We start from the raw sequence: 26,984 nt of genomic DNA on the forward strand, positions 1-26,984 counted from the left end.
TAAGATATTTATAAAGGCACTAAGAATGTCCTCTAATATCAGCTTATATATTTTTAATCTGCCGTTAAAGTGATTTAAAACGGAGCTCCGACGGATAGGCATGATGAAAATTAAAAGTCTCCATCACCTTGTGTCTGGCTGCAGCGCCCCAGCCGACAAGGACGCAGTGGGGCGGAGGCCCCCCACCCCGCCAAATTAGGGGGAAACGCAGCCTTGCCTGCTCTTCTCCAGGGCTGGGGCAGCCAGGGAGACGCGGTGTCATTAAGTAGTGAGCGCAAAGGGCGGCAGTGTCTGCAGAAGGAGCCACGCGGCCGCGCTTAATGAACAGTGACATCTGCTCGGCTCTTTAATTAACGAGCCCCCACGCGCTGTGGCAGGACACAGGGACCACGTCCTCTGTGCTTGCAGGAAAGAAAAAAAAAAGCCAGGCAGGGAGACGACTGCAAATGTGCAGAATGATTTTTTTCCTGCCTCCTTTTAGAAACTGGAGAATGGAACCCAGCTGCGACTGTTCCCTCTGCAAGGCCATTTCCCAGGACTGGGTTCCTGAGGAGCCTGGTGGGTGAAGGCGCTCTCGCCCCATGCCTGGTGTTCAACCTTTTCTTCACCCTTCTCCCACCCCCGGCCTCTTCACACACGAGTCTGAAATAAATGAAGGCAGCCGGAGTACAGGGGTCTGAGCTTCCCCCAGGCCTGGGATGAAAAGCCATGAATCAGCCCTGTGTTAAATTTCCCCATCATAAATTCACTCATCCACAACTGCATCCCAGCTTCCTCCATGACAACAGGCTGCCACCCACGAAGACACCAAGCGGGGGCTGTGAGAGAGATTCCAGATCTCACACCAAGGATAAGGGCCCAGGACAAGGGCCACTAGTGGCCATCCATGGCTTAACCACTAAGACATTGCATCTTCCCGTTTCCACGCTGGAGGCAGGCTTTACAGAGAGCCAGGCTGCAGTGGGGGGATTTTGACCTGAAGACCAGAGGCCCGAGTCTCTGGCTTGTAAAATCTCAAAAAACTTGGCCCTTGTGGCTTGATGGCCCAAAGCATAGCTCTGGAAGAGTCCCACCCCCACTCCAAACACATCAGCTACAGGTTTTTTTCTAGAACTCTCTAGAGTTTTCTATAATTCAACTAAATTTCTGCTTTGTGCCCCATTCAGTGGAAACAGAACCTTGGCAAGTCCAGAGTTTTCCCACTCTTAGCCTACTCTGCCTAGGGATTGAGTCTAGCTGTGGCCTTCCTTTAAAATGAGTCTGTGGACCTTCTTAGGTCAAGGGTCACCACAGATGGCCCCAAGATGCCCATGGTCTCATCTGCCCTTAGGCCTTGGTCCAGCTCCAGCTACACTGGCCTCTCTTCTGCTCCCCAACCATACTGAGTGAGTGCTCACAGTCACAGGCATTTATTTAGCACTTACTGTATGCCTGGCTCTTTGCACAGTGGTTTATATGCAGCAGCTCTCACACCAACCCTATGAAGAAAGGACTATCACCAATCCCACTTTATAGAAGCAATTCTTCTGAGGAACACCAAGAGACAGCGTAGACAAGCTCAGAGTTATGTGCCTGAAGAGTGAGATAGTTGGGGTATTTATTCACTCAATCCCCACTTGTCATCGGTTGAGGGTGTTAAACTCTCAAGCAGTCTCTCCTGAGGAGGCTTAGTGAGCACCAACAGCATCTACTCTCCTCCCTCCCTGCACATTCCTGTCTGGAATGTTCTGGAGCTTTGGCAGGCATGTTGGCACTACAGAGAAAGGTATAAGAACTGCTGAGGCCCTGACATGGCCTGGTTGCTAAAACAGCTTTTGCCAGGCTTCTTTAAATATCCAATTCTACTTGCTCATTGCTGATATGTAGGAAAGCAATTGACTTTTGTATAGTTACCTTGTATCCTGCAACCTTGCTATAATCACTTATTCATTCTAGTGTTTTTTGTCATTGTTTTGAATCTTTGGGATTTTCTAAACAGTCATGTCATCTGTGAAGAAAGACAGTTTTATTTCTTCCTTCTCAATCTGTATACCTTTTCTTACTTGTCTTATGGCATTAGCTATGATTTCCAGTATGACCTTGAAAAGGAGTGGTGAGAGTGAATGTCCTTGCCTTGTTCCTGACCTTACGGGGAAAGAACCTAGTTTCTCACCATTAAGTGAGATGTTAGCTATTGGATTATCGGAAATGTTCTTTATCAAGTTGAAGTTCCTCTTTACTCCTAGTTTGCTGGGAGTTTTTGTCGGGGATAGGTGTTGGAGTTTGCCAAACACTGTTTCTGCATCTATTGATGTGACTGTATGATTTTTAGCCAGGTTTCTTTTTAGAGGAGGAAAACAAAACTCCCATTTTGTTCAGGCCACTGATAGTTAAGCTTTCTGCAACTTGCAGGTAACAGGCATCCCTAACGGATATGAGGAGCTACAGGAAGGAAGGAAATGGATGATATGGGTCTGGGCTGCCTTTTCAATAAATGTCCTTGTGACTGAAATGTTGGGTACGTTAGTCTCCCCTGGCTGCCGTAACAAAGTACCACAAATGGGGCAGCTTACACAACAGAAATGTATTCTCTCACAGTTCTGCAGGCCAGAAGTCTGAGATCAAAGGGCCAGCAGGGTTGGTTCATTCTGTGGGAATCTGTTCCTGGCCTCTTCCCTAGCTTCTGGTACTTCGCTGGCAATCTTTCGCATCCCTTGGCTGGCGGATACGTCACCCTGATTTCTGCTTTCATGTTCCCATGGCATTCTTCCTGTGTGTGTCTGTGTCCAAAGTTCCCCGCTTTAGAAGCACATCATATTGGATGAGGGACCCCCTTATTCCAGTATGACCTCATCTGAACTAATTCCATCTGCAGGGACCCTACTTCCCAAATAACGTTGCATTCTGAGGCACTGAGGGTGAAGTTAGGACTTCAGCACATGAATCGCGGGGGATGCAACAGGGTCTATAACATCAGTTTAGGGAAAGTTTTCTTTTTATGATCGGGAGTCTTGAGGGCACTTGTGGCCATCAGGAAGGTCTGGTTGGGAAGGAAGAAAGGAAAATCCATTGTGTGTAGTTTCTGAGGGACTGACAAGAGTGAGAGCTCCAGCCCAGAATGACAGACCGGCCCTTCCTGGCCAACCACCGGGATGCACACAGGGTCCCTGTGTGAGGCTTTCTCCTTCCTGAGCAGCCTCCATCTCCGGGGGTGGGCCCGGGGCCGCAAGTGGAGGGGCCCCCACGCCACGTTTTGTGGCTGAGCTGAGGCTTCTGCCCTCGCAGCTGGGCTGACCTCCTGCAGGCCGGCCTCAGTCTAAACAAGGGCCGAGTGTGTTTTTCCAGGCGAGGATTGGGCTGGGGTTTGCCCGGGAGCCTGGTTCAGACAGGAGCCCTTTGAAGGCAGGATGAATTGAGACAATGTCTCCTTCCAGCTGAGGGCAGGCAGGGGCCAGAGCAGGAGTAGCCTTCCAGAAGGCCTCTTGTCCAGGGATAAGGAGGGTGTGGGAAGGGGAGCTTAGCCTCTGGGCCACCACCGGGCCTGAATGACATCGTCATCTAACAATCCAGCAACTGCGGCAGCGACGAATTCTCGCAGCCTTTGCCAAAGCAAGCCTCGTGCAGGAGCAAGTGACAGGAGGTGGTCCCAGACGAGTATCTCTTTTATTTTTAATAATTATGCATGTATTTAATGTATACTAGAAAAATATAGTTAGCCCATCCCATTAATGTCCCAGGTTGCATTGCTTCATGCAAGGTGACATCTCAAAATTTAAAAAGGAGGTTATTGGAAACTACCTGTATGTCCATCAGAGGTAAATGGATAAATGAATTGTGGTACATCCTTACAGTGGAAAACTACACAGCAATGAAAAAGCCCATCCTGATCCACATACCAGCATGGAGCCACAGCTATTATGTGGGCTGGTGACAGGTCCTTCTCTTAAAAGAGGGAGAGGCTGAGCTTGGGCCCAGCACGGGGACCCAGCACCGATGCTGTTCTAAGGCTCCACCCCTCCTGGCCTGTCTCTATATCAAGCCAGTTTTCCCCCAAAATGTGCCTAATCACTTCTTATCTCACTGTTGCAATTCTGGTTTGGATGACCTCACTTCTCACTTGGCTCCCCTGGCCCAGCCTATGGCCTCTTCACACACTGCCCTTCCACACTGCACAGATTCATCTTCCTAAACTGCTGCTCTGATTGAGACTCCCCCGACCCCACTGCCGTGACTCAAGCACCTTCGATGGCCCCCTATTACCCAGAAAATAAATATCAAACGCCTCAGTGTGGTATTTCACAATCCCAGGACCTTCTGAGCTGGCTTCAGTCCTATATGGTATACCAGCAACAGCAGCAAATTGGCTATTTCCTGACTGTGTCCCACAAGTTCTCTCCTCTCGATCTTCTCCTTCTACCTGGGATACCTTTTCTATAACCTCAACTCTAAAAGTCTCTTTTCCTTTGAAGGTGCAGCTTTAAATGCTACTTCCTCCTTGCTAGTGAGAATGAAACACATCTCTTCCCTCGTTTTACTGCCTGTCTCTCCAAGAATGCCCTTATCATTTTTCTTGGACCATGGTGATTCGACTCCCAATCTCAGGGGATCAAGATTTTAAAATAGTCACTCAAAAAGAGCAATGCTTAACCCAGAGGAATGAGGCTCTGATGGTGACATTTTAGGCACCCATGCCTGGTAGAAGAAGGCACCATGTTGATCAGGGAGGCCTTCCCTGGAAAGCACCTACACCAAAGGCCACAGACTCCAGCAATTGGAGTCTGAGGGGAGACGCTGTGAGCTGATATCAGGGAGGTTGTCTTGGAAAAGGGATAATTGATCTGGGCCTTGAAGGTAGATGGCACTCAGGGAAGTGGCATGGTTCTGGGGAAAGAATTTAGAATTTGTGGACTCAGATAGGTCTGGGCTCAAATTCCTTTTCTGCATTTTTTTTGAGACAGGGTCTTGCTGTGTCACCCAGCCTGGAATGTAGTGGTGCAATCACAGCTCACTGCAGCCTCAAGCTCCCTAGGCTCAAGTGACTCTCCCACTTCAGCCTCCCAGGTTGCTGAAACTGCAGGCACAGGCTGCCACACTCACTTAATTTTTTTTCTTTAATTTTGTAGAGATGGGGTTTTGTCATGTTGCCCAGGCTGCTCTCAAACTCCTGGGCTCAGGCGAGCCTCTCGCCTCGGCCCTGCAAAGTGCTCGGATGAGACTTTGGCTATCATAGAAGCCCCAACTCAAACTGCCTTCAACTAAAAGGAAAAGTTATTAGTTCTTGTAATGGTAAATTCCGAGGTAGTGCTGGCCTCAGGTATGGCTGAATCCAGGGGCCCAAGCAATGGCCTCAGAATGCACAGTTGTTTGTGTCCATATTGGCTTCCTCCTCAGTCATGCCCTGCCTTCACCACGGAAATGGTATCCCAGCAGGCACAGCTAAACATGCTCAATCAGTCCAGATTCTCACTTCCCAACTGTTCCTGCAACAGTCCTGGGATACCTCTTACTGGACAGAATTGGATCATTCAATGACCCCTGAACCAATCACTGAGGCCAGAGGTTTGGAAAATTTGGATTGGCGGAGCCTTAGTCACATGCCCATCTCTGGACCAATGGGGAGAACCAGTTCAACACAAACCACATGGTCTGAGGTGAGTGAAGGGCTGTCTCCAAGTAAACTAGAGGGGCTGTGACCAGAAGGGGCAACTGATGTCCAATAAAGTTACTGAACAACTGTGGGACTTTGTACAGGTACCTTAAGCATTCTGATGCCCAGACCCCTTGTTCGTAAGACGGGAAAATGACAGACTCACCCAAGGGGAGCTGTAGCTAGTTGTGTGATGATGTTCATGAAAACAGCTGGCATACTATAGGAGCCTAATAATGGCCCACAGCTTCAGAAGCTGGGCTGGAATTAGAGCAGAGAAGCAGGAAGGATGGAAGTGGCTGTGTTTTCCAAGATGGCTACAAATTCTTCCATCCCACAAGCTCTTTTTACAATGTGAGGTGGGCACTCCTGCTATTGGGAGCTGGGAGTTATGTCCCTCCCCTTGCCCAGGGCTGAGACTACAATGGAAGGGAAACTGGGGAACTTCTGAGACTGTTATAGGAGGTGTTATGGCTTCCTCCTGGCCCTCTTGGGAAATTTTTTTTCTGGAGCACCATGTTGTAAGGAAGCCCAAGTCACACGTGGAGGCTCTGGCCCCCAGCTGAGGTTCCACCTGGCAGTCACATATCAACTATCAAATAGTGACTGCCAGACATGTGGGTTGAGATAACCTCAGCCCCAGTCCCCATGTGACTGCAACCACATGAGAGGCCCCACGCCAGAACCGCCTAGCTGAGCCCAGTCAACATCGGAACCATGACATAACAATAAAATCATTGCTATTGTTTCATGCTGCTAAGTTTTGGGGTAACTCCTTACACAGCAACAGATACCTGGAAAGGGGAACATGGAAGGATTGTATGCAGAGGCTATGATGGGAGGTTATGGTGGCCTGATTTCATCACAGGATCTGTCTCCAGATCTCACTGGTTCACAAGCCGGGTAATCCCAGTGTGTACAAAAGAGAAAAAGAAGAGGCTGTGCCTGAGCTCCCTGAGCCACACACAGCCCTGTGCCCACAGCCCTGTCCAGAAGTGGACTCATTCACACCATCAGGCCCCGGCTGTGAATTTCTCAGGACAAAGGGGTAGCCCCACAGCTGTCGGGGCAAACCTCCTTCGACGCTCTCCAACAGCTCAGGCCAGCCCATTTCTCACTGACTTGTGGATGGAACGTGTCACCTTCAGAGGAAGGGGGCAAAATAAACCTTTGAAGGTGAGCTTGCTAAATGCTTGCGTAGTGAGGCCCCTGCATCTCCTTTTGCCGAGACTGGGGGAGGCTGAATGGCACCAGGCCCTGTCTCTCAGCCCCGCTCAGCCCCATCCCTCTAGTTCAGTCCTGTGGGACCGCCCGATCCTTGTGCAGCCCAGCTACACCAGCAGGTCGCCGAATGTGGATTGTATCCGGGTGGCATCTACACAGATCAGAAGGTAGTTCAGATAATGGGATCCTTTGAAGCAGTCGATGAAACATTCCACTCCAGACCTCAAAAGCCCAGGTGGCTGCCTGCCCCAGGCATTCAGGTGTCACTGCGCGGCTCCTGCCCCACCTCCTTGAACCACCCATGGGAACAGCCTCTGCCTTTTCCTTGCTGAACTGCTATTTGCTCACTTTAAAAACAAATACTCACTTTCTCTGTAGGCAAATAAATGGACGTAAAGAGGAAAGCTCAGATCACCCCCTAATCGGAAAGCCGATATCACTTACCGGAAGAGTAGGTGATGGTGAAAGTGAACACAGAGAAACAAAAGGTGTCACCCAAGTCTGCTTTCTGTCCTGCTGCCTGAGGAAGGTTTTCAATGGAAACCGTTTCCGGCTGTTGTGAAGGAAGCTCTGCCAACCTTACTCAGCGAGGTGTCAAAGACATCTCAGCACCCGTGGAGAGTTTCTCCCTGGAGTTGGCGGAAGAATAGAAAAAAAAAAAAAAAAAAGGAGTGGTTTTCTTGCTGTTTCATATTATTTAATGCTGTGCCTACATCCATTCCAGGTCTTCCCAACCACTTGAGGGAAACCCCAAATTATGATGATAGCAAATGCTTGCACAGGGCTTGGGTACCTCCAAGAGCATTATACGCACTACCTCATTTAATCCTTATAGTAGATACTGTTATCAGTATCACATGGGGCACAGAGAAGTAGTGCATCTGAGGTCACACAGCCAGTGAGTGGTGAAGCTGGGATTTGAACCCAGTTCTCTAGCTTGAGTCTGTGCTCCTAACCATGCAGCATGCTGCCATCTGAGAAGCACAGGTTTACACCCATCAGGCTCTGGATAACTGCCCAGAGTCTCTGTCCTAGAGTGAAAAATGCCCCCTGCCCACAGTTTATGTCACTCCCCGGTACCTACGAATGTGACCTCTGGAAATAGGGTCCTTGCAGACGTGATCAACTGAAGATGAAGTCATACTGGATTGGAGTGGATCCTTATAAGAAGGAGGAAGTTTGGACAGAGACATGCAGGGAAAAGCCACGTGACCACAGAGGCAGAGATTAGAGTGTGGTAGCCACAGCTAAGGACTGCCAACGATGCTGGCAACCACCAGAAGCTGGAAGGGGCCGGGAAGTATCCTCCCCAACAGCCTTCAGAGAGAGTATGGCCCTGCTGCCACCCAAACGTTGAGGGAACACGATTCCTATTGTTTTTAGCCACAAAGTTTAGGATGCTTTGTTCCAGCAGTGGCGGAAAACTAACAGTCTTCTTGGCCTGTGTTTGGGGGCACATGTCTCCCACAGGAACAAGTGCCCCCTGGGAAGGGGTCTGGAGTTAGCTGAACTGTAGGAAGTCTGTTGTTTTTTCTTAGAAAAGCTGAATTTTCACCTTTCCCCATCTGCTCAGAGATCTGCAGAAACAGCCTTACCTTCCCATTGGCTTCTGTTGCTGTGTCACTTTGGCCAAGTGTCTTAACCTCTCTCTGATTCTCATAGTGGATTTTGCAAGCACATAGATGGTATGAGTTTGTTCTCACACTGCTATAAAGATATGCCTGAGACTGAGTAACTTATAAAGGAAAGAGGTTCAATTGACTCACAGTTCTGCATGGCTGGGGAGGACTCAGGAAACTTACAGTCATGGCAGAAGGCAAAGGGGAAGCATGAAAGGACTCAGGAAACTTACAGTCATGGCAGAAGGCAAAGGAGAAGCATGAAACCTTCCTCACGAGGCGGCAGAAGGAGAATGAATACAGCGGGAACTACCAAACACTTATAAAACCATCAGATCTCGTGAGAACTCACTCACTCTCACGAGAACAGCATGGGGAAACTGCCCCCGTGATTCAATTACCTCCACCTGGTCTCTCTCCTGACACGTGGGGATTATGGGGATTCAAGATGAGATTTTGGGTTGGGACGCAAAGCCTAACCATATCATAGACCTAGAACACCTGCCCCTGGGAGGCAGCTGTTATATCTCCGTGGATTAAGGTTTCAGGAACTTTTATGGAATTGCCAAATGTTTTCTTTATTTAAGCTGGGCTAAGGATATGGTTTCTAAAGCTTTTTTTTTTTTCTCATCGTCATCTGAAATTCTCTTATTTATTGGTTTGTTTGTTTATAGTCTGTCTAGACCCATGTTGGCTGATGGAACTTTCTGTGATGATGGAAATATGGCTATCAAGCACTTAAAATGTGGCTGGTACCACTAAGGAACTGAATTTGTAATTTTATTTAATCTAAATGTAAACAGACACATGGATTAGTTTCCTGTAGCTGTGTAACAAATAATTAAAAAGGTAGTGGCTTAACACATTTTATTCTCTTATAGTTCTGGAGGTCACAGGTCTGCAATGGGTCACACCTAAAAGCAAGGTGTTGGCGAGGCTGCATTTATTCCTGGAGGCTCTAGGAGAGCCTCTGTTTCCTTGCCTTTTCCAGCTTCTAGAAATCTCCTGCATTCCTTGGCTTGTGGCCTCACATCACTCTGACATCTGCTTCCACAGTCACAGCTCCTCTGACTCTGACCCTCCTGCCTCCCTCTTATAAAGATCCTTGTGATGACCTTGGGCCCACCTGGATCATCCAGGAACATCTCCCATCTCAAGATTCTTAATTAAATCACATCTGTAAAGCCCCCTTTGCTGTATCAGGACACATATTCACAGGTCCCAGGGCTTAGGACCTGGACATCCTGTGGGCCATGGTTCCATCTCCCACTGCATGGGGCTAGGGGCTACTGTATCCAACAGACAGATCCGGACTGGACTGTCATTTCCTAGGGAAACTGCTTCTGTCTTAATCGCCATTGTGCCCTGCGTCAGGCACACAGTAGGTGCTCAATTAATGTGTTCAATTAATGAAATTCGAACATTGCTTCTACAACATGTTTGCTGAACAACATGTTGGATTTAAATTCTGAGTCTGAGCTAAACTTTGCAAAATGGAGACAGTTGTCATGCTGCCTTTAGCCTGGGCCTTGGGCACTGGTTCTGTTCCCTGTTCTGCTGTGTGATTTTAAGCAAGCCTCTGCACCTCTCCGGGCGTCAGCTTCCCCATCTGTACAAAGAGCCGGGAGGGAGGAAGCCAGACGCTGTGAACCACCTGCAAACAGCCTCGGGGGGCAGAGAAAACTGGGACGCAGAAGCCATGGGGCAGGCCCATGGGCGAGGCCTTGAGGGAGGCGAGCAGTCCACCCCAAAACTAAAAGCGTATTTCAGAAAAATGGTGTGGGAGACCAGGAGGGAGACTTTCTGAGCCACCTGGGGAAAAGAACTTGGGGGCCCGGACTGGGGTTAGAATCAGTGACTCCAATGCTCTGCTATCTGCCCGGATAGTTCTCCCAAGCCATCTCCATCTCTGACCCTACGCGTCCTTCAAGACCCAGTTCAAATGGCCCTTTCTTAAGGCAACCTTCCTTGACTCCCCCAACCCACCTCTGACCCACAGGAAGAGCTCAGGGTCTTCAGGCCTCCGCAGAAGCTGTGCCGCCCCCATCGCAGTCGAGAGATGTTAAGTGGCTTGCCCCAAGTCACACATGCCAGTGAGTGGCAGATCTGGGATGTGAACCCAGGTCATCTGGCTCCAACGTCTGTGCTCTTACTGGGCTATGTACGCACATTCACCACGCACACAACACACACATGAAACACAGGCACATCCCTAATCACACACGACACACACACAAAACACATGCACATCCCTAATCACACACGTACCTGGACACACACACACATTCATCCTAATACACACATGTACCTGCACAAACACTCATCCTAATACACACATGTACCTGGACACACACACACATTCATCCTAATACACACATGTACCTGCACAAACACTCATCCTAATACACACGTACCTGCATACACACACACACACTCATCCTAATACATGTACCTGCACACACACATCCTAATACACACATGTACCCGCACACACACACACACTCATCCTAATACATGTACCTGCACACACACATCCTAATACACACATGTACCTGCACACACACACACTCATCCTAATACACACAAGTACCTGCACACACACATTCATCCTAATACACACATGTACCTGCACACACACACATCCTAATACACACACGTACCTGCACACACACACACTCATCCTAATACATGTACCTGCACACACACATCCTAATACACACATGTACCCGCACACACACACACTCATCCTAATACATGTACCTGCACACACACATCCTAATACACACATGTACCTGCATACACACACACACTCATCCTAATACACACAAGTACCTGCACACACACACTCATCCTAATGCACACATGTACCTGCACACACACACTCATCCTAATATACACATGTAACTGCACACACACAGTAATCCTAATGCACACATGTACCTGCACATTCATCCTAATACATGCATATACCTGCGCACACGCACACACACACTCATCCTATTACACACATGTACCTGCACACACATCCTAATACACACATGTACCTGCAAACACACAGCCATTCATCCTAATACACACATGTACCTCCACACACACACTCATACTAATTCACACATGTACCTGCAAACACACATCCTAATACACACGTACCTGGAAACACACACACATTCATCCTAATACACACATGTACCTGCACACACGCACATCCTAATACACACATGTACCTGCAAACACACACACATTCATCCTAATACACACACGTACCTGCACACACACACATCCTAATACACACATGTACCTGCAAACACACACCCATTCATCCTAATACACACATGTACCTCCACACACACACTCATACTAATTCACACATGTACCTGCACACACACACATTCATCCTAATACATGCACGTAACTGCCCACACTCATCCTGATACACACGTGTACCTGCACACACACACATTCATCCTAATACACACATGTACCTGCACACACACATTCATCCTAATACACACATATATCTACACACATACACTCATCCTAATACACGCACGTAACTGCACACACACATTCATCCTGATACACACATGTACCTGCACATGCACATGAGGTACACATCTTTAAGACATGAATATACATGCACATATACACATAGCCACACAGACGCAACACACATGCATATCCAACTACACACACCCATATGTAGATGCACACACAGACACCTCTGCATTAACACAGACTCTGTCTCACACCCATTACAGCCACACCCCACACACCCATGTGTATACACACATGGGCATACACTTGTGCATGCATATTCCTTCACACATTCATGTACACATGCATATATACATTCACCCCACACACATATACATCTATGCATGGCATATGACACATGACATATTCACACATCCTACACTTGCCCACACATCCATATACACACACATATGCACACATGCACATAAGTACACACATATATACACATGACATACACACGAAACATACTCTTTTTTTGAGACAAGGTCTCACTTTGTTGCCCAGGCTGGAGTGCAGTGGCACAATCACAGCTCACCACAGCCTCGACCTCCTGGGCTCAAGCAATCCTCCCACCTCAGCCTCCTGAGTAGAGAGGACTACAGGTACACACCACCATGCCTGGCTAATTTAATGTTTGTAGAGTCTGGGTCTCGCTCTGTTGCCCAAGTTGGTCTCAAACTCCTGGCCTCAAGCAATTCTCCTGCCTTGGCCTCCCAAAGCACTGGAATTACAGGTGTGAGACACTATGCCTGGCCCCATACTCATATTATTTTGTATGTGTGACCAGGTGACACATATGTATGCATATATGTGCACACACACACACATCTAGACCAGATGCTGGCCTCCTAGCATAAGCTTGTTCACCTGCACACACAAATATTATCTACTGGCCCAGCACACACCCACCCACAGGTGTGCACACACAGATGTGTGCGAAGACCACGCATGCACACACCTTGTGTAGGGGCTATACCTAAACATAAAATCTGCGGAAACACCACTGGAACAGCATGCATAGGCACATAAAACGTGTGTGTCCAAATATTCACTTGTACTATGTACTCAGTCACAAAGAGAAAACCATGTAACTCCAATATGTGAACCAGGAAATCTCCTAATTCTGTTTTCCTGTATGCATGCCCAGATATGCATGTGCACACACAAGACATGCCCAGATCCTTCTGCTCCCACTGTCTGTCCCCTATGCCCTCCCTCCCCACCCTCTCCTCTACGCACTCAGTGTGTTGATGAGGCCTAGGGGCAGACAGCAATGCCCTCTGGTCCTGAATGACCTCAAGGAAGAGGAACGGAGCAGCTGCCTGGCCTCGCCTGCTGGGAAGGGGGACAGCAGGCAGCACAGTGGGAGTTCTGGGAGGACAGCGGAGTCCAACCCCAGCCCTGGGCTCAACCCCACCTGGCCTGACCCTGGACACCCTGATCACACTCTTCCTGACACTTGCCTACCATGCTGGGTGCTGGGGCCAGATGCAGACCCAACACACTCCAGGGTATGCAGAGGAGACCTGGAAGCTGGGGAAGAGTACAGGATCCTTTGCTTCACCCTGAAGCCCCCCGTCTGGCCGTGCTGAGCAGACAGGAAGATGACAGCACAGTGTAGGCTGGTGGGGGGGCGCCTGCCCGTCCAGCCTCCTACGCAGCAGATGGCCAGCCATCTGCAGGCCCCCTCCTCCTCCTCTCTCCCTCCCTCCTCCCAGCGTGGCCAGGCCTGGTGCTGGGGCGAGGCTGCTCGAGGCTGGCAGAGCGTGTTGGAGCCATGTGCTGCCTGGCAGGCAGGCAGGCGGGCAGGCAGTCAGGCAGGCTGGGAGGCTGCTGCTCCGAGAGAGGCATCCAAACACACAGGCAGGCACAGCCTTCTGCGCTGCCCCACTCCTCTCCCCATATTGTGGGCACCTCTGTTCTGGGAGATTCTGGGGCTTCAGGAACAGAACAATCCTTCATCCCAACATTCATTCATTCAACAAACACTAAGTGCTTACTAAGTGCTAGGCACTGGAGATACAGGAATGAACAAAACAAATATTCGTTGACCACCTACTATGGGCCAGACACATTTTCATGAACCATGGATACAGCTGTGAGCTAAAGGAATATACATTAGATGCCTGCCCTGTGTCAGGCACTAGGCCGATGACAGCAGTGAAAGGATAAATGCTTAGTGAGCACCCACTGCATGCCAGGAGCTGGTCTGGGCACTGGGAATACAGCAGTGAACAAATTATTTGTTGAGCACCTACTGTGTGCCACACACATTTCTAGGTCCAGAGGCTAGAAGAGCAAGCAACAGCATTATTTATTACACACTTACTATGCACCAGGCTGTATGCGTTCTGGGCACTGGGGATAGAGCAGTGAATTTATTGAGCACCTAATATATGCCAGACACATTTCCAGGCACTGGGGATAGAAAAGCAAGCACAGTAACTGTTTGTTGAGTACCTACTATATGCCAGGCCCTGGGTGGTGACCAAGAAAGTCACTGTCCCCATCCTCTCTCAGTCTCCTGGGTGAGCAGCAGTGACTACATGATGCCTCAGGCAGAACTAAGGCTGGGAGGGGAAGGACAGTGGCATTCTTACTGGCTTGATTATTTTAGACAGGCGCAGTCAGGGAAGGCCCCTCTGAGGAGGTGTCTTGGAACAGAGACCTGGGTGAAATGAGGAGGCCACCCTGAGGATGCTGGGGAGGAAAGATGTTCGTGGCAGCGGGAACAGCCAGGGTGAAGTTTCCAAAGGGAGAATGTGCTTGGTATGCCCTACATGGCCCAGAGGCCCCTGCCAGGGGAAGGAGAGGAAGCTGGTGGGAGATGAGGGGTGGGGTAGGACCCTGGTGAGGAGTCTGGGGAAACTGAGCCCTGGGAGGAGGCCCCAGGGGTTGCCAGTGGAGTGTCGGGGGGTGCCATGAGCACATAATTATGACAATGACCTTGGGTGCAGGAAGCTTTCCCTGGGCCCAGCCTCTGCCGAAGGGGGTATCAGCATTTGACCCACTGACCCTGGGACGCCAGCCCTGTAATGATGCCCATTTCACAGGCAGGAAGACAGGACACGGAGGTCAGCTCGGATGAGAAAGCAAGGCCTGGAGCCTGCCGCTGGTCGGGTGCTCCCGATCCATCCGAGGGCAGGCCAGGGAGACAGGCTCTCTCAGCCCACACGGGCACCACCGCCGTGTCCCCACCAGGCCACGGATGGCTGGGCTCCCTGTCAGCTCCAACTGAGCAGTGGCCTCTGAAGGCAATGTCCCCGGCCGACCCTCTGCTGGCGCCTGAAGCTGTCAGCCTTGATTCCCGGCGGGCTTAGTCACCCCATACCAGTGACATTTATTTATTCCCTCACGAGGGAGCGTGGAGAGAATTAATTATTTAGCACCGAGGAAGCACTTTGAACATGAAAGTGCTGAGGAGGGCCTGACATTACAGAGAATAATGTTCCCTCCTCGCTCCGCCTGCGGCTCCGGATGGCAGAGCTGTCAACCCCCAGGGTCCCACGATGGGGGCGGAACCCCCACCAATCCGCCGTGCCAGGAGGCGGGGGAAAAAGGCTCTGAACTTAAAAATTTCCCTTCTGTAAAAGGAGGGAAGAGAGTGAAGGAAAGAAGGAGGGAGGGAGGAAGAAAAGGAAAGGAAACAAGAAAGAGGAAGAAGGTTCCACGCACGTCTTCCAGCCACTGCACACGGGTAAGCTGGAAGGCAGAGCAGAGCTGAGTCACAAGGACATCAGTATGGCTCAGAAAGCATTTTCTCTCCGCTATTTCCCAAGGTCTTCAAAACACGGGGGGCTGTCAGCACAGACCCATTTCACAACAAGGAAACCGAGGCTCAGAGAAGAGCGGCACCTTGCTTGAGGTCATACAGTGTGGCCACAGTAGCTGGGAACTAAATCTGTGTGTGCGCTTGCGTGTGTGTGCGGGCATGTGTGTGCGTGTGTGTGCGCGGGCATGTATGTGCGTGTGTGTTTGCGGGCATGTGTGTGTGCGTGTGTGTGTGTGTCCGGGCATGTGTGTGTATGTGTGTGCCTGGGCATGTGTGTATGTGTGTGCGCGTGCACGCGCGGGCATATGTGTGCGTGCGGGCATGTGCGTGTGTGCCGGCATGTGTGTTCGTGTGTGTGTGTGTGTGCGTGCGTGCGCGGGCATTTGTGTGCGGTCATGTGTGTCCGTGTGTGTATGTGCGGGCATGTATGTGCGTGTGTGTGCGGGCATGTGTGTGTGCGCGCGCGAGCATGTGTGGGGGGGCATGTGTGTCCGTGTGTGTGTGCGGGCATGTGTGTGCGTGTGTGTGTGTGTGTGGGCATGTGTGTGCAGGCGTGTGTGTGCGGGCATGTGTGTGGGGGCATGTGTGTGCATGTGTGTATGTGCGCATGCTCACCTGTGTGTCAGGGGTAGCCCTGTCTGAATGCAGCTGCCAAGGTCCTCACCTTTGGCGGGACATGTCCCCAAGCCCCTGCTCCCCAGGCACCGGAATCCCCAGGGCGCATGACACTGGCCACACCACAGCAGAGGCCAGCAGAGACCCCGGGGTCAGCCCTTGACGCTGAGCCTCTCTCCCTCCTACCGCTCTGAGGATTCCCACGCTGGGGCTTCCCCCAGCCTCTCCGCCACCTCGGGACAGAGGCAGGGAGGAGAGATCTGGGTGAGGTGGGGAGCAAGGGATAGGGGTAGTAAGAAACAGTCTGGCAGGGAGTTGGAAGTTCAAAGTTTGATTTGACTCCGTATTTACCCAAAGGAAATCCAACAGGGGGGAAATATACAGCTGGAACTGGAAGCGCCCAGTTTGCCGTCCCTGCAGGTTCCACGGTCTTTGCTCCTCTCTTCAGAGAGAAAAAGGCTGGGGGTTGCGCTCAAGCCCCCTGTAAGTCAGAACCAGGACACCCTAGCGGAAGAGGAGACCTGGAGGTCTCAGGGGTGTCTCCGTGCTTCCTTCTGCCCCGCGGCCCCAGCTACGTCTGATTCGCCTCCACTCACCCCGGGGGCCAGGACCATGCCTGCATTCAGTAGGCGCCCAGTGCATGCTCAGGGGACCTGAATGTTATCTGAGGGCCCCTGTAAAATGAAATACAAAAGAACTAGGGGAAGCAGAGGCCTTGCTCAGGCAGGTACATAACCTCTGGTGCCTCCATTTCCTTATCTGTAAAACAGGAGCAAAAGCGACGGAACCGCAGTATAGATGGGAGGAGCCTAGTGCTTATTCCCAAGGGGCTTAAAACAGCACCTGGCCTGCGTGAAGTACTTGTTCAGTCCAAGCTATCATCTGGGCACATCCCCTGACAGATGCTTGATCTTCACAGCAACCTATGTGCAGGTCCTTGTGAGCCCATTGTACTTATTTAAGAGACAGGGTCTCACTCTGTGGCCCAGGCTGGAGTACAGCGCCATGATCACCGCACTGCAGTCTTGACCTTCTGGGCTCAAGCGATCCTCCCACCTCAGTCTCCCAAGTACCTGGGACTACAGGCACACACCACCACGCCCGGCTAACGTTTTTATAATTTGTAGAGACCAGGTCTTGCTGTGTTGCCCAGGCTGGTCTCAAACTCCTGGCCTCAAGCAATCCTCCTGCCTCAGCCTCCCAAAGCTGTTTTGTTATTATTACTGTTCAGATGATGACACTGAGGCCCAGATAAATGAAGTAACTTGCTCAAGGCCACCCAGCTAGAAAGTGCCTGGGCTGGATTCAAGCCTGTCACCCCGCCCCTGCCTCCTAGACAGACAAATGGCTTAGACAAGAGGGCAGGGGCTTTCCTGGTGGGAGGGGGCTGACCTCGAGGACTCCCAGTTCAGACTGTGGGAGTCTCTTGATGCTAATCAGGCCCCCGGGGGTGGCCTTGAGGCCTCCCTGCACGGCCACCCTCAGAGAGCATAACTGAATGCTATGTGCTTTGAACCAGAAAATGCTCCCGGCTATAAATTAGGGGACCGCCCAAGGGCACAAGGCCCTGCGGCCACTTCTGCTGCCCTGGGCCAGGACGGTGGAGGCCCCACAGGCTCCTTGGACAGCTGGGAAGCCCGCTGGAGGCTGCTGCCATGGCGACGGTGCCGGCTGCCCTCACTCTGCGTGGGCCACATCCTGCCTTTCCCGGGCACGGAGTGGGCTGGGGCTCAGCCAGCCACCTCTCCCTCCTCTTCCTCCCTCCCCTGGGGTCATCTGGGGGTCCCAAGGGCTGCCCGCCCGTCTGCAGCCCAGCAGGGCAAAGCCAGCTCAAAGACGCCCCTCTCTTAATAATGACAAATGCCAGCTGACATGCATTGAGCACTTAGCCCCTTACAAGTATTGGTGGCTTAACTCATAATAGGTGAAAAGACTGAGGCCCACAGAGGCAGCATTGCTTGCCCAGGGTCACAGGACTAGGCAAGAGCAAAGATGGGGTTCCAAGCTGGGGTTTCTGACCCAAGAGCTCCATTGCAGAGTACAGTGCAATGGCAAAGACATGACCTCAGAAGCAAGACAAGCTGTGTGACCCTGGACAAGTTACCCAGCCTCTCTGGGCTTGGGTGTCCCCTTGGGCAAAATGGGATAAGAGTACCTGCTTCCTAGGGTCCTCAGGAGGATTCCATCTGTTAATGCATCGGGCAGGCACTGGGTCTTAGCCTCACTGTCTCCTAGAAACGGGTCCTGGGATGAGGTTTGTAGACCCGCGCTTCAGGGGAGGCTGCACAGGGGAGACAGGACAGGGCAGGGAAGGAAGCCAAGCCCAGGTGTCACTCGAGCCAATATCCCAGCCTCAGCCGGATCTGGGTCTGAGGAGCACCCAGTTCGTCCTGCCCCAAGGCAAGAGCTCAGACTCACAGTGGTCACCCAGGGGCTGTCCCAGGGAATCACAGCCACCAGGCGGGTCAGGCTCCCTGGACATGGGGCCAAAGCACCGCCAGAGCCCGGGAGCAGTGCCCAGAAGCGAGGTGAAAGTGCAGGCAGTTAGGAGCAAACTGGAGAGAAGGGACACAGAAGCGTCATTGAGAGGCCCGGAGCGTGTGGGGGTGGAATCCTGACAGTACTCCTCACACTGCCCGGGTTGCAGGTTGCTATTTTAGGGTTTATTGCCTACAAACTTCAACTCCACAACAAACCCATCTGACCAGTGGAGTTGCCCTTGTTTTACATGTGGAAGGCCAGTGGTTTGGCCAAAGCGACAGGGCTTGGGGCAGGGATCCAAATGTCTAGGCTCCAGGTCAGCTTTTCACTGCCCTTGCGGCGTGGTGGCTGCGTGCAGGGCCCGGAGGAGAGGGTGCTGACTTGCACAGGAGGCCATGAGCGGCTCCAGGGCCTGGGGCACCCGGAGCAGGTTGTAGCATTCAGGATGCCTGGGGTAGCAAGTTAGAGAAAAATCCCAATTCCAACTGCTTTCATGATGAACATGGATTCTCCCCATGAGAGGAGGTCCCGGAGCAAAGGAGCTGCAGGGCTGGGTGACTCAGCAGCTCATTGGTGGCATCTGCACCAGGCGCTTCCTCCTCTCTCTTCTGCCACCCCTCAGTGTTGGGACTCCCTTCATGGCCTCAAGATGGCTGCAGCAGATCTGGTCATCACATCCCAACAAGACAGAGTGCAGTCAAAGATAAGGCAGCCATCTCTTCCCCCCTTTTTGTTTTTTGTTTGTTTGTCTGTTTTGTTTTGTTTTGTTTTGTTTTTGAGACAGAGTCTTGCTCTGTCGCCCAGGCTGGAGGGCAGTGGCTCAATCTCGGCTCACGGCAACCTCCACCTCCTCAGCCTCCCTGCCTTCTCCTGCCTCAGCCTCCTGAGTAGCTGGGATTACAGGTGTGCACCACCACGCCCAGCTAATTTTTATATTTTTAGTAGAGGGGGGGGTTTCACCATGTTGCCCAGACTGGACTCGAACTTCTGACCTCAGGCAATGCGCTCAGCTCAACCTCCCAAAGTGCTGGGATTACAGGCGTGAGCCCCCGCACCCTGCCTGGTTCTCTCTTTTTTAAAAGCAGGTAGGCTGGGCATGGTGGCTCAGACCTGTAATCCCAGCACTTTGGGAGGCCAAGAAGGATGGATCGCTTGAACCCAGAAGTTCAAGATCAATCTGGGCAACATGGCGAAACCCCTCTCTACCAAAAGCGATACAAAAATTAGCCAGGAATGGTGCCACATACCTGTAGTCCCAGCTACTGGGGAGACCCTATCTTAGAAAAAAATAAATAAATAGGTAAGAGCAGGTAAGCATTCCCTGTAAATCCCCCAGCACAGTCCCCTCCACGCCACAGTGGCTAGGGTTAGGCCACGTGAATATCTAGGAAGGGGGATGGGGTGGCCATGACGCTTAGCCCAGGGTCAGCAAACGGTGGTTCACGGGCCCCAAGCCTGTTTGTTTTTGTAAATAAAGATTGATTGGTGCCCAGCCACATCCTTTTTTTTTTTTTTTTTTTTTTTGAGATTGAGTCTCGCTCTTTTGCCAGGCTGGAGGGCAGTGGCGTGATCTTGGCTCACTGCAACCTCTGCCTCGTATGTTCAAGCGATTCTCCTGCCTCAGCGTCCTGAGTGGCTGGGATTACAGGCACAAACAACCATGCCCAGCTAATTTTTAATTTTTTTGTAGAGATGAGGATCTTGCTATGTTACCAAGGCTGGTCTTGAACTCCTGGGCTCAAGCGATCCTCCTGCCTCAGCCTCCCAAGCTGCACACCCTTTTTTTTAATATCGTCTGTGGTTGCTTTTGTGTGACAAAAGCAGAACTGAGGAGTTACCGCAGAGACGCCCAAGAAGCCTAGAAGAGTGACTCAACCCTTTACAGAGAAAGAGTTTGCTGACCCCTGGCTAGACTAACCGGGATCTACCCCTGACCCGGATTGAGTCATTTCCCCTGAGGGATGAATGAACACTATGACAGTCTGTGAGCCCCATAGAAGTGGGGGTGGGGGCTGGCCTGGCCGCTGCCAGTCGTCCTTCAAAGCTTTGCTACTCAAAGCGTAGCCCCCAGGCCAGCAGCATCCGCCGGGCATGGGAGCCAGGTCTTGGGTCCCACCCCAGACCTATGAAATCAGAACCTGCATCCTAACCAGACCCCCAGGGAACGTCACCCACTAAATGCAGCGCGTTTGCTTCTCAGGCTGTTGTAACAAGGTACCACGAAGCGGGTGGCTTAAAACCACAGGTCTGGAGGCCAGAAGCCTGCAATCCAGGTGCCAGCAGGGCCCTGCTCCCTCCAAAGCCCCTGGGGCAGGATTCTTCCCTGCCTCTTCCAGCTCCTGGTGGCTCTTGCGACCCTTGGCCTTCCTGGCTTTGCAGATCGGTCACTCCAGCCTTTCCTCTGCCTCCACGTTGTTTGTGCGTATCTCCCCTTTTCCTGTGAGGGCTTCAGTCATCTTGGACGCGAGTCCACCCTGATGACCTCATCTCAGCTTGATCACATCTGCAAAGATCCTATTTCCAAATAAAGTCACATCCACAGCTGCCAGGGGTTAGGACCCGGACATGTGTTTTCGGGAAACACAACCCCACCTGTGACCTGTGAGTAGTCCCAACACACACCACACATGGGTGAACTGCGACATACGTGCTTGTGCTTTTGGGAAGGACAGGGCTGGGGGAGGGGCAGCTCCAGCTTCCCTGCCTTCTCAGGCTCCCAGAGCTGCCCTCCTGGGAAACAGCACGCTGGAAGCTTCATGAACATAGCTGGCCTCAGGCTGGCTCAGGGAGGTCATCTCTACCCCTCATCTCCCACCAGGCCTGAGCTGCTCCTGGGCCTCCCGGGTTGAACCGTGAGTGCCCTCAGCAGGTCTGGCACTGGGTGAGGCATGTCAGGCATCCCAGGTGCCCCTCTGCACTGGCACCCTGAGAGGGCTTGCCTTCTAACATTCGGTACCCTGAGCCCAGCACTGGGGCTCAGCCCACTTCTCATCTCCAAACCCTGCTCCGGGCCTGTGCTCCCCAGCTGTGGCCAAGTGACAGGTGGGCCCAGCTCCTGCACTGGCCGCATGAACAGAAGCACCGTCTTCTCAGTGAAATTAATAAATGCCCAGCAAGTGCACCCTGAGCAAACTTCCTTGCTTTGCACATAACTGGTGCTTAAAACTCACGTGCTCGGTGTACGAGGAAGTAAATGCCGGAAATCCAGATTCCCTACAGCGACTGACAAGGCCCAGCGTGATCTAGCCCACCCTCCTTACCAACCTTGTTCCCACCGTTTTCCTCCTAAACCTCTAGTTTCCAGCTCCATGCCAAGCCCACTACGGCCCCAGGGCATTTGCACCTGCTGTGCCCTCTGCTGGAAGGCTCCTCCCCACACACAAGCCCATGGCTGGTTCTCTAACTCGATTTCGATTTCTGTACAGATGATGTTACCTCTTCAGAGGTAAGCCCCACCCCCTCACCTCCTCACTTTCTATCAAATCAAACAATTTTAACAACTGCGTAGAACTCACAACTGCCTCCAATCCTCATGTTCATTTATTTATCTACCTGCCACGTCCTGAGTGTCTAGAATGGTGCCGGGCACACAGTAGGTGCGCAGTAAAAACATGCTACTGAACTGAGAGAGTCCTCTCCTCCATCCCCATCAGGCTGAGCTCTTAGTAAACACTCAGGAGCCTCCAGGCCCCTGTATTAAAGGCCTGACAAGCCTCGCCCTGCTGCGGAATTTTACAGATGGGGCTGTTTCTTTGTGTGTCAACAGAGTGCTTAATCTCTGCTCATAATGCCAGGCAGGAAGGAGCCTGCTTTGCTGAGGAACTTCTGTCTCAAAGCCGCCAGGTAACATGAGTGGGGCCTCTGGGGTCGGGAGCAGCATGTCTCCCCATCCTGGCCTTGATAAATGTCCAGGGGCCCTTCCAGCCTCCGCCAGGCAGCTGCCTCTGACCACAGCCTCCTCCGCAGAGCTGAGCTACCCACGTGTGCTCACTTCTAAACTGCAAGCCGGCCCCTGAGGGGGTGTGTGAGGAGTCAGGGTCTTAAAAACTTCCTGCATATTTTCCCTTCAGAAATAGCATCCTTAACTTTCTTTTTTTTTTCCTTATTAAAAATGTACTCATGTAATCCACATGCACTGGCTGTGAGAAATTCCAAAATGTCTTTTGGAGAGAGATCCTTGCCCCCTGAGGCTGTCCCCATTGCACAGATGATAAGCACAGTCAACGAGGCTGGGCGCCCGTACTTCCCAAACTTTGTGGGGCCCACAGCAACCCTCTGAGGCTTTTACTTTTATCATCCCCATTCCACAGACAGGGAAACTGAGACTCGGAGAGGGACAGGGCCAGCAGCCAGCACATGTTGGAGGGAGGTCAATCCACTGTGGCTTTGAGCAGAGTGGTCGCAGGACTACTATGCCATATCCCACCTCTTTGTAGAAGAGTTCTTGATTTCATTTTTAAATTTTTGTGTTGTTGTTTCTATTTTGTACCATTTTCTGTGTATCGTTCTGTGACTTGCTTTTTTCATTTAACATGTCTGAGACATCAATTCATGCTGGACACACATAAGTCACCTCATTTTTTTTTTTTTTGAGATGGAGTCTTGCTCTGTCACCTAGGCTGGAGTGCAATGACAGGATCTCAGCTCACTGCAACCTCTGTCTCCCAGGTTCAAGTGATTCTCCTGCCTCAGCCTCCTGAGTAGCTGGGACTACAGGCACACGCCACCATGCCTGGCTAATTTTTGTATTTTTGGTAGAGACAGGGTTTCCCCATGTTGGCCAGGCTGGTCTCGAACTTTTGACCTCAAGTGATCCGCCCTAGCCTTCCACAGTGCTGGGATTACAGGCGTGATCCACCGTGCCCAGCCAGTCACCTCATTCTTTTTAACGCCTGTTTCATAGCCCCTGACACACAGCACAGAGCCATTATAATTGTTGGAGTCAAAACGGTTCATATCTGATCATCTTGTATTCTCCGGACGTAATTCATTTTAATGTGCACTACAGTCTCTATGCGATGCAGTGAGCACTTTTGGGAAAACCAGTCGGACCTGGACTGGTTGGTCAGGAGAAGGTCTGAAGTGCCCTGTCAGGCCAAGTCTGAGACTGTGGTAGTAGAGGAAGTGAAAGCAGGCTCCAGCACTGAGGTCCAGAATGTTCCCAGCTCCAACGAGGCCATGAAGATAAAGCACTTCTTTTGTTGGCCATCTGCATATCCAAGAACTCCAGAGTATCCAACCTTCAAAGCACTGTGGCTCATTCCCTGAACAACGGTGCCAGGTAATTCACAAAGCAACCCTCTGCACACCACAGTTTGCTCCAGTCTCCAAAGCAAGTCCTACTCAGAGTCTCCCCCGAGCAGACGAAGAGAAGCCAGACCTCTCTCCACTTCAGGCAGTGGATGCTTTTTGGGGGCTGGCATAAAGGGAGTAAGGAGGGCATGAGTTTTCACAAAGTCAAAATGAAACTGCTAACAACACGGCTCTGTCTCCCAAGAGTGACTCACCCAGTGAAAACCAGAATATTGTTCCGAGTGTCAAAATCTGCAGAACAGCCTCCAGGATTTGGGTCTTATCCAGCTTAAATGAGCCAAAACACTCCTGCATCTTCCTGGGGTTCCTGGTGAAGGGCGTGTTGTCTTTTCCCTTTAGCCCTTGTTTTGGAAAGCTCTGAAGAGGCACCCAGGAGGTCAGCAGACAGCAGCCTAGCCGCTTCCTTCTCCAGGACAGCATTCGGGCAGCTTTGAAATGCCTCCCAGCGCTCGCCTTCTGCAATCCCCAAACTTATGCTGCTGGCATGCTGGCTGCCACAGAGCGCAGAGAACACCAGGACCCCGGTGGGAGGCAGAAAAAATATTCCTTAGGAGAATCATCACCCCACCTCGCGCTGGAGGGCCAGGCACGGCAGAGTTTATCATCATCAGGAGCGAGTTAACTTCGAACAGGGGAGAAATGCTTTTAGAGTAATTGTATTAGCCCTGGATTCCAGAATGCCTTTTCCATTCTTTTAAGGAACATTCTGTGCATCCTTGTGCCCTCCGTAGAGCAGGGGGAGACTGACGGGTTTGTAGGTGGAGAAAAACGTGAGACATTTTTAGCTCCCGGTTTTATTCATGAGAAAATTTGCCAGGTGATCCTGGAGCGTGACAGCTTGTCTTGTGGAGTTTGCCAGGGCGCCATGGTGCTCCTGGGTATACTCTGGGTGCATACGTGAATCCACAGTGAGCCACATGCAAATCAGGACAATTGGACCAGGGTCAGTCTTCAGCCCTGATGGGGACTGAGAGAACAGGGAGGGGAATGACAGCAGCTAACGCTTATCTAGTGCTTCCTGTGGGCTGGACGAGATCCTGAGCACTTTGCGTGTATTAACATTTAACTCGGATAATGACCCAACAAGGGAAGTACTAATATGATCTCCATTTAAGAGACAGGGAAGGCGAGGCGCAGAAAGGTTAAGTAACTTGCCCAAGGTCACACAGCTAGAAAATTGCCCGCCTAGGGCAATTTCACCCCAGCTCCGTGGCAGTGAAAAGATTGCAGTCGTGATAGTCAGGATGACATCACTCCCTATCCTTGCCTGATGAGTCCCCGTGGGGGATCTTGGAAGGCTTCTTACAGGAAGTGGAGACAGACTCCAAGGTGAGGTTTTCCTTGAAGGAAGCGTGGGATTCTAACTGGCAACTGGGGCAGAAACAGCATTCAGTGTGGCAGGATGGGCGGGTGCGGAGGCTGGGAGGAGGGAAAGGGGCTGCTGGTGAGAAAACTGTGGAGCCAGAACTTGGTGTGGGTGAAAACCCAGGCATACAGTCAGTGCTCAATAAATGGCAGCTTGGACATTAATTGGAGGCCAGGAGGCAGTATCTTGGCTGCTGCTTCCTGGCTGGGGTCCAGCATCCAGCATCCTCAGTGATTCCTGGGAGCCACGGCCCAGCTCCAGGGCAGGGTCCTGATTGGTCCAAGGTGATCACGCCCCTAACCAGAGATTGGGCTAGTCATGGTCATGTGACACAGTTTGACCAACTGCTGGCAAGAATCTAGGAATGCTTTTTCTCACCCTCAAAAAGCCGCTCTCTATCCAAGAAGGCCCTTGTGTGAGTTAGCTATTGCTGCATAACAAAATGCCCCCACACTTAGCCTCTGGGAACAGTGATGTATTTTCTCAGCTTCTGTGGGTCTGGAATCTCGGGGGCACTTACTGGGAGGTTCTGGCGCAGGGTCTCCCTTGAGGTCTCCAGCAGTGGAAAGGTCAGCTCTGGTTGCCGTCATCTGAAGGCTCCTGTTCAGGCTTTCTCCCTCCATCTGAAAGGCTTCCGAGGTCGGCTTGCCCAGTCCCAGCCTGCTGGGCACAGAACCTTGGCTTTTTCCTGATACAAGAGTTCCAGCTCAAACATCACCTCCTCTGAGAAGCTTTCCAAGATCACCTTATAAAAAGTGGCCCCTCCCTGTCCTGCCAGTGAGTCTGCATCCTGTCCCCACATGCCTTACTGCCTCCGGGCCTGAGGTTCTCTCTCTACTGTTTGCCATTTTTCCCCCTCCTTTTATAATTTACGTCTCTGTTGGTCTCCCTACCCCCTCACTAAAATGTACATTCCTGACAGTCCAGACCGTTGCCTGTTTTGTCGTCTGCTAGATTTCCCAGAGTTTAGCATAGTGCCTATAAGTAGTAGGTGCTCAATTAAAGATACGTCTATATTGAATGAATGCATGAATGAATAATTGAATGAGTGGATATTCAGCAGCTGTAGAAGTGGTCTAGGACATCAGGCAACACCAAAGAACCAAGGAAGAGGTTAATAACTCTCTGACACTGTGTGTGTCTGTGTGTGTGTGTGTGTGTTTGTGTGTGTATCTTTCTCTCTCCTGTCTCTTCCTCTCTCTACCCCCCATCTCTCTATCTCTCCTGTTTCTTTCTGTCTCTCCCCGACACCCCCTGCCATCAGGCTTCCTGCCGCAACACACACACCCTCTTCCTCCAGCTGCCTGCATCCAGGTCCCCTCCCTAAGTTTCACTTTCAAAGCCCCCAGATTCAACCTTCTCTGCTTTGCTTCCAAACTGGCTTCTCCAGCCTCAACCCCACCTCCATCCTGTGCCTGCCAGCTCTGGGAGGTC

The 26,984-nt window shown here is 51.4% G+C and overlaps 8 annotated features.

Moving 5' to 3' along the window:
• Positions 5,913–6,082: an enhancer, noted in NCBI's record as "experimental_25120 CRE fragment used in MPRA reporter constructs". NCBI's record gives its function as "activates a minimal promoter by MPRAs in K562 erythroleukemia cells, with activity observed for both the introgressed and non-introgressed 12:125151299 variant alleles {active_cell/tissue: K562}" and the evidence as "EXISTENCE:reporter gene assay evidence [ECO:0000049][PMID:34662402]".
• Positions 12,985–13,602: an enhancer, noted in NCBI's record as "H3K4me1 hESC enhancer chr12:125158286-125158903 (GRCh37/hg19 assembly coordinates)". NCBI's record gives its function as "activates a minimal SCP1, AML or CMV promoter by ChIP-STARR-seq in naive H9 embryonic stem cells {active_cell/tissue: H9 hESC(naive)}" and the evidence as "EXISTENCE:reporter gene assay evidence [ECO:0000049][PMID:30033119]".
• Positions 14,764–15,361: an enhancer, noted in NCBI's record as "H3K4me1 hESC enhancer chr12:125160065-125160662 (GRCh37/hg19 assembly coordinates)". NCBI's record gives its function as "activates a minimal SCP1, AML or CMV promoter by ChIP-STARR-seq in primed H9 embryonic stem cells {active_cell/tissue: H9 hESC(primed)}" and the evidence as "EXISTENCE:reporter gene assay evidence [ECO:0000049][PMID:30033119]".
• Positions 15,960–16,557: an enhancer, noted in NCBI's record as "H3K27ac-H3K4me1 hESC enhancer chr12:125161261-125161858 (GRCh37/hg19 assembly coordinates)". NCBI's record gives its function as "activates a minimal SCP1, AML or CMV promoter by ChIP-STARR-seq in naive H9 embryonic stem cells {active_cell/tissue: H9 hESC(naive)}" and the evidence as "EXISTENCE:reporter gene assay evidence [ECO:0000049][PMID:30033119]".
• Positions 20,597–20,666: an enhancer, noted in NCBI's record as "active region_7296". NCBI's record gives its function as "activates an Ori minimal core promoter by ATAC-STARR-seq in GM12878 lymphoblastoid cells {active_cell/tissue: GM12878}" and the evidence as "EXISTENCE:reporter gene assay evidence [ECO:0000049][PMID:35858748]".
• Positions 20,857–20,926: an enhancer, noted in NCBI's record as "active region_7297". NCBI's record gives its function as "activates an Ori minimal core promoter by ATAC-STARR-seq in GM12878 lymphoblastoid cells {active_cell/tissue: GM12878}" and the evidence as "EXISTENCE:reporter gene assay evidence [ECO:0000049][PMID:35858748]".
• Positions 24,053–24,597: an enhancer, noted in NCBI's record as "H3K27ac-H3K4me1 hESC enhancer chr12:125169354-125169898 (GRCh37/hg19 assembly coordinates)". NCBI's record gives its function as "activates a minimal SCP1, AML or CMV promoter by ChIP-STARR-seq in primed H9 embryonic stem cells {active_cell/tissue: H9 hESC(primed)}" and the evidence as "EXISTENCE:reporter gene assay evidence [ECO:0000049][PMID:30033119]".
• Positions 24,598–25,140: an enhancer, noted in NCBI's record as "H3K27ac-H3K4me1 hESC enhancer chr12:125169899-125170441 (GRCh37/hg19 assembly coordinates)". NCBI's record gives its function as "activates a minimal SCP1, AML or CMV promoter by ChIP-STARR-seq in primed H9 embryonic stem cells {active_cell/tissue: H9 hESC(primed)}" and the evidence as "EXISTENCE:reporter gene assay evidence [ECO:0000049][PMID:30033119]".

This window comes from Homo sapiens, chromosome 12, assembly GCF_000001405.40.
Source record: "Homo sapiens chromosome 12, GRCh38.p14 Primary Assembly".
Lineage (NCBI taxonomy): Eukaryota > Metazoa > Chordata > Mammalia > Primates > Hominidae > Homo > Homo sapiens.